The 13,271-nt window shown below is 42.9% G+C and overlaps 1 protein-coding gene and 1 pseudogene across 12 annotated transcripts in view, besides 1 other annotated feature; one reads left to right on the top strand and one right to left on the bottom strand.

Annotated features, from left to right (window-relative positions):
* Window positions 1-13,271, bottom strand: part of CASP10 (caspase 10) — a 46,266-nt gene that overhangs the window by 16,296 nt on the left and 16,699 nt on the right. For 2 of the 12 annotated variants that reach the window (NM_032974.5, NM_032977.4), the window contains exons 6-9: window positions 9,345-9,381; window positions 7,138-7,229; window positions 4,928-5,036; window positions 3,549-4,041 (exon numbers count right to left, since the gene is read on the bottom strand). In NM_032974.5, coding sequence (NP_116756.2) covers window positions 3,549-4,041; window positions 4,928-5,036; window positions 7,138-7,229; window positions 9,345-9,381 — 731 coding nt within the window. Of the gene's footprint in view, window positions 1-3,548; window positions 4,042-4,643; window positions 4,822-4,927; window positions 5,037-7,137; window positions 7,230-9,344; window positions 9,382-12,381; window positions 12,669-13,271 lie in introns of those variants that run through there. The other 10 variants (NM_001206542.2, NM_001230.5, XR_923043.3 and 7 more) reach the window with 9 other exon arrangements.
* MTND5P25 (MT-ND5 pseudogene 25) lies at window positions 42-815 on the top strand (annotated as a pseudogene).
* Window positions 4,077-4,126: an enhancer, noted in NCBI's record as "active region_16981". NCBI's record gives its function as "activates an Ori minimal core promoter by ATAC-STARR-seq in GM12878 lymphoblastoid cells {active_cell/tissue: GM12878}" and the evidence as "EXISTENCE:reporter gene assay evidence [ECO:0000049][PMID:35858748]".

Here is a 13,271-nt window from a genome sequence, read left to right as displayed (position 1 = left end):
TGGTGCAACTCCAAATAAAAGTAATAATCATGTATTTTTCCATTACTATAATAACCTTAATCTCCTTAACCTTACCAATTATTATTACCTTTATCAACCCTCACAAAAAGAACTCATATCCATACTATGTAAAAATAGCTGTCGCATGCACTTTCACCATTAGCCTCATTCCCACAACATTTATGTGTACAGACCAAGAAACCATCATCTCAAACTGATATTGAATAACAATCCAAACCCTAAAACTCTCATTAAGCTTCAAACTAGACTAATTCTCCATAATGTTTATTCTAGTAGCACTATTTATCACTTGATCTATTATAGAATTCTCAATATGATATATGAAGGCAGATCTGAACATTAATCAGTTTTTCAAATACCTACTTATTTTCCTCACCACAATATTAATTCTAGTTACTGCCAACAACATTTTCCAACTCTTTATCAGATGAGAGGGTGTAGGAATTATATCTTTTCTACTAATTGGCTGATGACATGGCCAAGCAGATGCTAACACAGCAGCCCTCCAAGCAATTCTATACAATCGCATTGGTGACATTGGCTTTATTTTAGCTATAGCATGATTCCTCTCATCATCCAATACATGAGAGCCTCAACAAATACTTATCCTTAACCCTACCCCCAACCTTCTTCCATTAATTGGTTTTCTCTTAGCAGCAGCAGGAAAATCAGCCCAACTTGGCCTCCACCCCTGACTTCCTTCCGCCTTGGAAGGCCCAACCCCAGTCTCAGCCCTACTTCACTCTAGCACTATAGTTGTGGTGGGAGTTTTCCTACTTACCCGCTTCCACCCCTCAACATCACTAATCATCACGGAAATGCAAATCAAAACCACAGTGACAGCTGGGCGCCGTGGCTCACGCCTGTAATACCAGCACTTTGGGAGGCTGAGGTGGGTGGATCACTTGAGATCAGGAGTTCCAGACCAGCCTGGCCAACGTGGTAAAACCCTGTCTCTACTAAAAATACAAAAATTAGCCAGGCGTGGTGGCACATGCCTGTGATCCCAGCTACTCGGGAGACTGAGGCAGAAGAATTGCTTGAACCTAGGAGGCAGAGGCTGCAGTGAGCTGAGATTGCGCCACTGCACTCCAGCCTGACAGAGCAAGATGTTGTCTAAAAAAAAATAAAAATAAAAATAAAAAACCCACAGTGAGATGCTACTTCACTCAAGTTAGAATGGCTATTATCGAGGAAACAAAAGAAAACACATATTGGCAAAGATCTGGAGAAAAGGGAACACTTACACACTGTTGGTGGTATTGAAAATTAGTACAGCCATTATGGAAAATAGTATGCCAGTTCCTCATAAAATGAAAAATAAAAATACTATATGATCCAGCAATCCCCATACTAAGTATATAAACAAAGAAAATGCAATCAATATGTCAGAGAGATATCTGCACTCCCAGTTTACTGCAGCATTATTTACAATAGCCAAGATATGGAATCAACCTAAGGGTCCAAAAATGGATATATGGATAAAGAAAATGTGATATTTATACGTGACAGAATACCATTCAGCCATAAAAAAAGAAAATCCTGACATGTCTGACAACATGAATGAGCCCAGAGTGAAATAAGCAAGACACAGAAAAAATCTGCTTGTTCTCACTCATGTGGAATCTTTGTTTAAAAAGTTGATGTCATAGAAGCAGTGATTAGAACAGCAATTACAAAGATGAGAGAGAGAAGGAGGGAAGGGAAGATGAGAGGTTAGTCAATGGGTACAAAGTTACAATTAGATAGGAGAAATAACCTCTGGTGTTCTGCTGCACAGTGGGGTGACTATGGTTAACAGTAAGGCATTCTGAGCTGGGCACTGTGGTTTGAGCATATAATCCTAGCTACTTACAAGGCTAAGGCAGGAAGATTGCTTGAGCCTAGGAGTTCAAGGCCAGCCTCGGCAACATGGTGAGATCCCATATTTAAATCAATCGATCAATCAGTAAGGTGTTGTATATTACAAAATAGCTACAAGAGAGGCTTTTAGAGGTTCTCACCACAAAGAAATGATAAATGCATGAGGTGATGGATACACTAACTACCCTGATTTGATCATTATACAACACATATATGTATTGAAACATCAAATTATAACCCTGAAATATGTAGTTATGAAGTATCAATTAAAAATAACAGAAATTTCTGGAGTACCAAAAAAAACCACACATTGCTTAATCATGCATGTATACTGTCTCCTTTTAATATTGTTGAATTTTTAAAATAATAATAATTTAAATATTCACTTATATTTTTATTATCTGTCCTTCCTTCACTGGACTTTTAGCTCCCTGGAGAGCAGATTTTGTCTCTCTTGTACACAGTTGCACCCCCTGTCCCCAGTTCGGTACCCAGTACAGTAAGCACATAGTACGCTCTCAATAAATATTGCCTTGTTCCTGAAGCCATAGACATTAGCCTCTGATGTCTGTGATGAGAATGGAGGGGCTGGTAAAGAAGAGAGAAAAGCAAAGTTGACTCAAGGTTCCAATCCTGAATTCCCAGAAGAGCACTATGGCCATTCCTTCAAATGGAAATTCAGGAGTAGGAGCTCCTGGAGAGAGCTGGGAAGATGAGCTCAGAAACATGCATGCTGAATGTGAGGTCCAAGGGCTAAACAGAGGTAGGATATCTAGCGGGATGTTAATGAGACAGGCTCAAGCAAGTCATTCATTGGCCCAGCAAATGTTTAACAAGCTCACAATATATCAGGTCAGGGGCTGAGGATATAAAGTTGAATGAAACAGGGTCTCTGCCCCCAGGAATTCAGAGATGAGTGGGCCAGAGATGGCAACTTTGGAGACGTTTTCATGGAGGAGCCCATGGCCTCTAGGTATGGCTAAAGGTGCCAAGAGGACAGCATGTGGCAGAGACAGAAGGGAAGCTGTCAGAGCAGTGGCAAATAGAAGTCCAAAGATAGCACATAGGTGCTCAGGACGTAAGAGTGAGTGATAAATAAACGAACAAATAAAAGGCCCCCATGCTTTTGTTCATGCTATTCCCTCTGCCCAGCACATCTTTCACCTGATTCTTTACCTAACATCTATTTGTCATTTCTAGAAGCCTCCTCTGATCCTTCAAATCTGGGCAAGGTACTCATTCTGCATGTTCCCATAACACCTATACTTCACAATGTGCACTTACCAGCTGGGGATGCCCTTCCCCGTCTATTTGTTTGTCTATCCCTCTAGCTTGTAAGCAACCTGAGGGCAAGGACTCTGTCTTTTTTTAACTCTGTATCTTCCTTTCCAGGTCCAGGCTGGTACTCAATACAAGGTTGCTGGATGGATGGATGGATGGACAGATGGATGGATGGATAGATGAATGGGTGGATAGATGGATGGATAGATGAATGGGTGGATAGATGGATAAATAGATAAACAGGAGGGTAGGCAGATGGTTGAACAGGTACATGGATAGAACAACGTAGAACTCTCACCCTTACCAAAGGTGTTGAATGAGAGTAAAATAAAAAATAAATAAAACTAATTAATTACAAATGGAAGAAAAAAAAGAGCTCTCACCTTGGGACCAATTTCTTCAGATGATTACACAGAGACTGAATATACCAGCTGCCTTCCTCCACATGCCGAAAGGATACATAGCCTGGGACAGTGGCCAGACCAAGTAGGAAGTCAGCCTCGGCAGGAATACTGTCCTGCAGGGAAGTGGGTGCCTGCTCAGGGTTCAGAGCATCTGCTTCGATGGATACGGAAGGCTGTATCTCTTCACCTTGGCAGGCCTGGATGAAAAAGAGTTTAGGTTTTTCAGCCAGTCTAGGGCACTGCAGGGCTGTGAAGTGAGACATGATCTCCCGAATGGGAATGAGGGCCTCATCCGAAGAGTAGACAGCTCCAAATCTCCCATGGGTCAGAATACAGAACACGAAGCAGTCCCCGTCGGCATGGGCTGGATTGCACTTCTGCTTCTGCAGGACCATCTCCATTTCCACTTTCGTCACATTATTGTGTATATGCACTGTGAACCCAAGCCACTGGAACACATGACTCAGGATCTCTGTTTAAAAACAAAAAAAAAAAAAAAAGAGAGAGAGAGAGAGAAAGGGGAAATAATAAAATGATGCAAAACAAAATGAAGAACTGAAACAAGGCCGGGCACAGTGGCTCACACCTATAATCTCAGCACTTTGGAAGGCCGAAGCAGGCGGATCACTTGAGGTCAGGAGTTTGAGAACAGTCTGGCCAGATGGCAAAACCCCATCTCTACTGAAAATACAAAAAATAGCCAGGTGTGGTGGCTCACGCCTGTAATCCCTGCTACTCGGGAGGCTGAGGCACGAGAATGGCTTGAGCCTGGGAGGCAGAGGTTGCAGTGAGCTGGGACTGCACCACTGCACTCCAGCCTGGGCAACAGAGCAAGACTCTGTCTCAAAGAAAAAAAAAACTGAAACAATGCTAATAGTTACAAAATTTGCACAGCAAATAGCCTAAAGCTTTGGATTATTTTTATTTTCATAACCATAAAATCTTACAATGAATCTCCTATCACGTAATACCCAGTGTTGTCACAACAGTCCTGAGAATCGGCAGTGGCCAGTGTTTCATCCTGTTTCACAGTTGAAGAAGCCAAGGTCTCTTGACTCTCCCATGATCACACACCTAGTTAGTGGTGGAGCTGGAGCTCACGCCCAAGTTGTCTCGTGCCAATCCAGCAGGCTCTCCCCCAGTACATGCTCTCCTCTATTCAGAATTGTGAATAGTCAAAGATTCTTGCCACTCTTTAGCAGACTGATGACTCCCCAGGGATATATAAGAGGCTCAGAAACATGATATCATCCTTACACGTATATGGAAGATAAAAGTCACAGAAAGAAAATGTGAAAATAAAAAATAATTTTAAGATCCCCAATTTGCATTTGATAAACTGTTCCAGACTTTCTTACCAGCATCTTTATGGGTTCCTTGTCTGTCCTTCAGGGAGGTAAAGCTGTGGTTGTTGACAATGACACAGAGGCCTCTGTGGTTCCGATTCATCCTGTACACAGCTGCCCTCTTGAAGAATAGATAGAGCCACTTAGTAGGAATCCTTATCTTAGGGCCTTAAATGTTTCTAACCAACCACTCCAATGGATCCACTGTGAGGAAGAGCAGGATGTATCTCCCCATGCCAGTTGTTTAAACCATGTTTTTGTTGTTGTTGTTATTTTGTTGTTGCTGTTGTTGTTGTTTTGAGATGGAGTCTCACTCTTGTTGCCCAGGCTGGAGTGAGTGACGCGATCTCGGCTCACTGCAACCTCTGCCTCCCGGATTCAAGGGATCCACCTGCCTCAGGTGCCCACCAACACCCCCAGATAATTTTTTTTTTTTTTTGAGACAGCATCTCGCTCTGTCACCCAGGCTGGAGTGCAATGGCGTGATCTCAGCTCACTGCAACCTCCACCTCCTGGGTTCAAGCGAGTCTTCTGCCTCAGCCTCCCGAGTAGCTGGGACTACAGGCGCCCGCCACCATGCCCAGGTAATTTTTGTATTTTTAGTAGAGACGGGGTTTCACTATGTTGGCCAGGATGGTCTTGATCTCTTGACCTTGTGATCCGCCCACCTCGTCCTCCCAAAGTGCTGGGATTACAGGCATGAGCCACCGCGCCCAGCCGATAATTTTTGTATTTTTGGTTGAGGTAGAGTTTCACCATGTTGGCCAGGCTGGTCTTGAACTCCTGACCTCAAGTGATTCGCCCACCTCAGCCTCCCAAAGTGCTAGGATTACAGGCATGAGCCACCATGCCTGTCCAAAACCATGTTTTTATACTCTAGTCTAAACCCCTTGGGGTATTTATGCCACATTATTTCTGAAGTCACATATTGAAAAACTGGGGATTCTGACTACTCTGCAACTCACTTTTACTGCACAATTGTGATCTGAATAAAATTTCAAAGATTCTTTTTTAAGTCCTAGAGCCCAGGACAAAGGATAAATCTCATTTGCACTAAAGATTAGACAGTTCCTTTCTTTCAGGATGCCACTCCCAGTATCAGAGGCAGAGAGTTCTCAAGATCCTGGCCCTAGTGTGGAATTAGCTAATTAATTCCAAGGTGAAATGCCAGATCCTGATTAAAATTCAGACTTCACCTGGTTTGGCTGGAGAAGCTCAATCATGACAGTTAAGAAAATGGAATATATATTTTAATATTGTCAAACCCAGGGTTTATGCAAAAGCATCTTCACTTTCATATTAGCAACATGAATGAAGAAAGCATACACAAGGATTTCATGAGACAACATAAATATCAAAGATTTTTTTCAGATGGTTCATTTCTGGAGTGATCTAATGCCTTCAAAAAAGGGAAATCTTTTGTAATTTTATTTCTGAATATAAAAATAATATACAAGCTGGCATGGTGGTACTTGGGTGGCTGAGGCAGGAGAATTCCTTGAGCCTGAGAGTTCAGGACAAGCCTGGGCAACACAGTGAGACCGCCATCTTTATATATATGTGAATATATATATGAGTGTGTGTATATATATATATACACTTAATATATAAGTATATATATATAAAGTATACTTATAAATAAAGTATATATATACACATATATATTCATATATATATAAAGATGGCTGATATATATTCATATGTATATAAAGATGGCTGTATATTCAATTTTTAAAATTCAATATATATATATATTCACAGTAGGAATTTAAAAACATGTGCAATTATTTTTTAAGGCTATTGTAAACAGCATGTGATTGCAAATTAGCTGAGCTGGCTTTAGCAGAGCCTCTGGGCAGCTAAAATCATCCTTGAAATCGTGGTACATCTTTATCCAAGCAGAAAACAAGTGGCTTCAATGGATAAGAAAAGAAACTACCCCTCTCCAGAAATAACCCAAAGGGTATGCATGACTCAAAGTGTAACAGCATTTCCTCCACAGTCAAAGGGATCAGTCACTTCTGATTGATACAGAAAAAGGTGGGAAGAACAGAGATAATTACAGAGAGAGGGAGAAACAAGTCTGAAACAAACAGCTCGGAGCCCTTAAAATCATCGAAGGCTGGACCCTAGGGAGAGAGCCCCTAAAGAAACCGTCCTTTTGATTAAATTTGGAAAAAAAATTTTTTTATTAAAAAAGGAATAAAAGAAACCATCCAGACCTTTGTGCTGGTTTCAGAGTTTAGAGTGTTAGCAGATGCTCCTTGCATCCCCCTGGAGACCAGGCTTGGTGCACCATTTGTGGCTCTGTTACCTAGAAAGAGAGGTACTCAGACTCCAAATATCTTCCCCAAGCACTTAGATTTCTTCACTGATAATTTTCGCATCTAATTCTGGAGAATTATGCTTCTCTCAAGGCCCTCCTGAGACAAATTCAGCCACCATGCCCTTCCTGATGGGAGAGACTGATGTGTCTTCGCATTCTTTTTTGCTTTGTCTGGGTTGGAAACTATGCTGCTGGCAGGGATTGGGTGGGGAATTAATTAAGATCCCATGGATCAGCTCAAGGCTTCCAGCTCAAGTATGGTTGGATTGAGTCAGCATTTATGTCACTGGATATAAAGAGGCTAGGTGGACCTCTTCCCTAGAGAAGGAAAAAGAGGGAGGCTGGGCGTGGTGGCTCATGCCTGTAATCCCAGCACTTTGGGAGGCCAAGACGGGCTGATCGCTTGAGCCCAGGAGTTCAAGACCAGCCTGGACAACTTAGTGAGACCCCATCTCTAGAAAAAAAAAATACAAAAAATTAGCTGGGCATGGTGACACATTGCCTGTAGTCCCAGCTTCCTGGGACGTTGAGGTGGGAGGATCACCTGAGTCCGAGGGGTCAAGGCTGCAGTGAGCTGTGATTACACCACTGCACTCCAGCCTAGGCAACAGAGTGAGGCCCTGTCTCAAAAAAAAAAAAAAGAAAAGAAAAGAAAAGAAAAAAGAGGGGAAAAAGAAAGTTCCAGTTGGGCATCGACTGAGGATCACACTGCTTTGAAGTGTTCCTGCCAACTCCCTGATTCCTCTGGAAAAGACTCTATCACAGAGAGAAAGTCAGCAATGCATTATTTGTCACATGGCACTAACAGGAAAATGTAACATCAAACAGTTTTCTTTTTCCACTCACAGGAAGTTTGTAGTAGAACCCACCAAACTCTGTCCTTGTCTCTGGGGCATGAGTTAGTTATTAACTACTGCTAAGGGTCAGTCCTCAGGCTGAGCAAGTCCATATTCCCCAGACCAGAAAATACAGCAAAAGGGATCCACGCTTCAGTGGCTCAGAGCACCTATAAATTCCTCCTCACCATGAGAGAAGGTAATGCTCCACGGGAAGTCACGTCTAAATGTTGGAACCGCAGAATTGTAAAGCTGAAAGAAACTGCTTTATTCTTCAGAGGGGTGAAGCAGTCACCTGAGCTCACATAAATAGACACTGGGATAGCCTGGCCTTAGGAGAGTAAGCTCTGGAATCAGACAGCTGGGTTCAAATCCCAGCTTCACTTCTTTTTAGCTGCGGTGCCTTTTAGCTGCAGTGCAAAGCACTAGATTTCATGGGTCTCAGTTTCCTCATCATTAGTGAGAATAACAGTATTACCTACCTCCAGTGAATGGAGGAATAAATGATATAATCCCTGAAATCTCTCTGAACAGTGCCTAGTATGTGACAAGTGCTTAATAATGGTGACCTGGTCAATGTCACCAACATCATAGCACACAACCTCCGTGTTAGGCAAAAAGACAAATTGCTAGCAAAGCTGTGTGTCTTGGACTCTGAAGGATAATTTTCCAGAAAAAAAAATGAGGAATGGTCTGTGACAAACTTTACATACCACAGAAAGACTTCGCCAAAGCCTGTTTGTTCATAAGCAGTTTAACCTGATGGCAGATTCTGGAATATTTTCCTAAGGTTATGGTTTCTGGGCAGGGATTCAGGGAACTAAACACACCATCCTCAAGTCCCTCCTCTTGCTTCTTCTCTCCCTCTGAAGCAACATCTGGAACCACTCCATAGAGGACACGCACCCAGACTGCACATTCTGCTGTCACTACTGGCCTGAAGGCTTCAGCCCTGCGGGGGCTGTTTCTGCTGCACAGAGGGTGGCCTAATTCTGAAGGGTGGAGGAAGAACAGCCGCCTGCAGTCCCTAGAATCTGCTATACTAGGCATTCAGAGCAGAAACCACCCAGCCCTCTCCATACTGCCATAGAAAAGCCTAGTACAATCCATGCATTCAATGTCTTGCCTTGAATTGGAATAAAAAATGAATTATTCATTATTTATAAAGCTTCTCTTCCAAGTCACCTTGAATTCCTTGGTATATATCAAATATGTCTATCCCTACCATACCGATCTAAGTTGTAAAAAGTACATTAGAAATACCTACCATTACTACCTGCATGCTTATTTTGCCAGGACTCCTGCTGAGAAAAAAGAAAGGAGGGCATGAAACATAGGAATTTCACACAGTTAGGATGAGGAACAAAAACTAGACTTGATGCAGGGAAGGACAGATATCTAATCCACAGCCACAGAAAAGGTCATTGGGCCGGTTGCGGTGGCTCATGCCTGTAATCCCAGCACTTTGGGAGGCCAAGGCAGGTGGATCACCTGAGGTCAGGAGTTCGAGACCAGCCTGACTAACATGGTGAAACCCCACCTCTACTAAAAATAAAAAAATTAGCCGGGTGTGGTAGCGCATGCCAGTAATCCCAGCTACTCAGGAGGCTGAGGCAGGAGAATCACTTGAACCTGGGAGGCAGAGGTTGCAGTGGGCCGAGATTGCGCAACTGCACTCCAGCCTGGGTGACAGAGCAAGACTCTGTCTCAAAAAAAAAAAAAAAAGAAAGTTCATTGGCAGGAAATGGGAAGAGAACCAACTCTCTCCATCCAAAGGAGAAGGTTCACAAAGACGCACTGGCAAAAATACAGTGTGACATATGCTCAAGGGTACTTACTCATTGCAGCATTATTTACACTAAGGACTGGAAATAGCCTAATGTCCACCAATAGGAAGTGATTGAAAAAGCTGTGGTATGTCCACATAGTGGAGTAAGATGCCAAGGACAGCCTCTATACCCTTCTCCAGGGGATGCTGTCATATGGAGAAAGCAAAATGAAATGGTATTTGAGTGCACTACCTCTTTTGTAATAAAGGGAAGATATACGTTGGATTTTTTTCAAAAGTAATAAGATAAATCAAAAAACAAATAAAAATGGCAATCGAGGTGGGGAGGAGAGGCAAGGATGCACTACCTTGGGCATACATTAATGTTTTATATAATTAAATACAAAATTAAAACAAAGTCTAAGACCCTGTCTTTTCTGTACCCTCCTCCCCATTCACCATCACCCCCTTCCCCCTATGACTCTCAGCCGTCAGCCTTCAGCAGAAAGCCCCCAAGGGGACCTGACCAAGGTGTTGGGGAAGAGCTGTTCCCCCAGCTCTGCAGGAACAAATGCAAAGGAGGCTTAGCTTCACTTTCCAAAAGGCTTCCTGCCTTTCTTTTCATAAGCCACTGTTCCCTTCCTGTAGAATCCTAGATTTCTTCTAAGAGGCAGACAAGGGCCTGGCCAGACTGCCTTCTGGTTTTGTCCAGCAGTTGAGTGAGTCTTCTGGGATTAGGGGCAATGCAGACACAGCAGCAGGCTCTGCCCAGCCCCTCCAGGCCCTGGCTTTCCTTGATTTGTTCTTCCCTTGGCTGATAAAGTCAGCCAGAACAGGGACTAGAAAAAAGCTTTAAGGTCTAATCTGCCTTTCTTCTCCCGAGAATGTTGCATCCTCTGTTGACACCTCTCAAGTCTCTATGTCAGAGAGGAATGAATGAATGAATGAGTGAATGTCCCACAGCCTGGCCACACTGAATCATCTTTCAACTTCTTTTGATAGTTTTCAAGAGGGGTCCAATAAGGCCTTATAAAGAAGCAGGTGTTAGGTCTCCTCCATAGAGAGACATGCCTCTCCTTAAGAAAACCTTATGCCACACTCAAAAAAATCGATTTGGCCGGGTACGGTGGCTCACGCCTGTAATCCCAGCACTTTGGGAGCTGAAGCAGGTGGATCACCTGAGGTCAGGAGTTCGAGACCAGCCTGGCCAACATGGCGAAACCCCATCTCTACTAAAAATACAAAAAATTTGCTGGGTGCGGTGGCACGTGCCTGTAATCCCAGCTACTCAGGAGGCTGAGGCAGGAAAATCACTTGAACCTGGGAGGCTGAAGTTGCAGGGGGCTGAGAAAAAAATAAATTTAATTTTTAAACATATTAGGAGATGTTGCTTAAAATTCGATGAGAGTTCCTTCTCATTGAGCCCAATTATTGGCAGTGTTCTTTTAAATTTAAAAAAAAAATCCTCAGGTGCTTAAGAAACATGAGATGTTTCACCAAGTTTTATTTTATTCATCATTTGATGGAGAGGGAAAGGGCTGCCCAGATAACTTTTAAGACACCTTCCAACCTTAAAAGTCTGTGAAAACACGTGAGATGCTGTGCCCCAGTCCCCTTTGCACTTCTAGTACTGCCACGACTATCCCCCTACTGCATGTGCCGTGGCCAAGTTATCATCCCACGTCAGCGGAACCACAGCGCTTCAGAGGCCACAGCTGAGCCATGCCCCTTTAGAAACCACTGAATTTCTCAAAGACAACGAGCAGAATCGTGTGTGTGTGTGTGTGTGTGTTTCTACATGCATGTCAGTATCTGAGCACAAAACAAGTTGAAAAAGTGGGTGGGAAGAGTTACATTTAGCAGACAATTTAACTTAGAATTAGGGAATCCTAAAATGTCAGTGCTGGAAAACCACATTTTAAAGAGCTTCTGGGATGGCCATGCACAATAGCTCATGCCTGTAATCCCAGCACTTTGGGAGACTCAGGAGGGTGGATCACCTTAAGTCAACATGGTGAAATCCTGTATCTACTAAAAATACAAAAAAAATTAGCCAGGCATGGTGGCGGGTGCCTGTAATCCCAGCTACTAGGGAAGCTGAGGCATGAGAATCATTTGAACCCGGGAGGCTGAGGTTGCATTGAGCTGAGATTGCACTCCAGCCTGGGTGACAGAGCGAGACTCCATCTCAAAAAAATAAATAAATAAAATAAAATAATAAAGAGCTTCTGGGGGAGCGGGGAGGTGGGAATGGATTTGCAACTCTCTAAACAAAGCTGTGCCCATGGCCAGGGAGTTGGCCCATAAATGTTGCTTTAATTGGATTATAGTAAAAGAATCAAGGGGAGCAGCCTCTCTCCCTCAATACCTCAATCAGATATCTAGGCGCTTTTCTAGGATTGGAATTAATTGAATCAAGGGCTATTTTCCTAGAGAAAAGAAGCCAATTTAAGATTTTATAAATAATTGCAATTCTGTGTTATTTCCCATTGGGGGAGATGGGGAATTCAAATGAATAAACTCACAGCAAGCAGGCGGAGGTGTTACCATTTCTTTTAATTAAGGATGTACTTAATCTCTTAAGATCACTTACAAAGTGGCCTCCCAAAGCTGAGATTCCCTCAAATGCCTAAATACCTCCACCTGCCGAATGAGGTTCAGGGCAGAGCCGAAGAGCAGGCCTCTCCCGGCTCTGTGTCATGTCCTGATTGCCTGCATAGTCTTCAGGTGGGCGTTTGCCCAGCCTTTGCCAAGCTCCAGGAGCTACAGGTCATCTGGCGAGTTTCCACGGTCTCCTTCATTTAAAAAAACAAAAACACCTTCCTGGGGAGAAAGGAGGGTCCTTCTTTACAGTAGAATGCTGAGAGCCAACTTACGAATGTGGAGAGAATACTGGAGTCAGAAAAGCATTGTTTTACAACCAACATAGTAAATGCTGGATCACACAAGAATCATCAGCAGACGCTCAATCTAGGGGGAAACTTTTCATGTGCAGCAGGATATTTACAGAATCTTAAAATGTCTCTCCAGCACTTGCTTATTAATTGCGTGGGGAAAAAATAGTAACTATATAAAATTAACTGCAGAGTGATAATATCAGAAAATATCTTGACCAAATAATCAAAATTAGCATCACGAATAGGGGGGCAGATGGACATGACGTATTTCCAGATGGGATGCCCTGAGAAAGACACATCACTTCTGTGATATTCTGGCCAGAACGTACAGCTTGAATCTAATTATGAGGAAATACCACATGTACCAAAGATAAGGAAAATTCTATTTAATGAAAGGTGGGAGGAGTGACTGCATTCTTCAAAAGTCTCAATGGCATAAAAGAGGAAATTAAATGTCATAAAAGTTGTGGAAATGTTCAAGATTAAAGGAGACTATGCCAAGCATGGTGGCTCACGCCTGTAATCCCAG

This window comes from Homo sapiens, chromosome 2 (assembly GCF_000001405.40).
Source record: "Homo sapiens chromosome 2, GRCh38.p14 Primary Assembly".
In the NCBI taxonomy this organism is placed as follows: Eukaryota; Metazoa; Chordata; class Mammalia; order Primates; family Hominidae; genus Homo; species Homo sapiens.
This window is presented reverse-complemented; position numbering and strand designations above follow the sequence as displayed.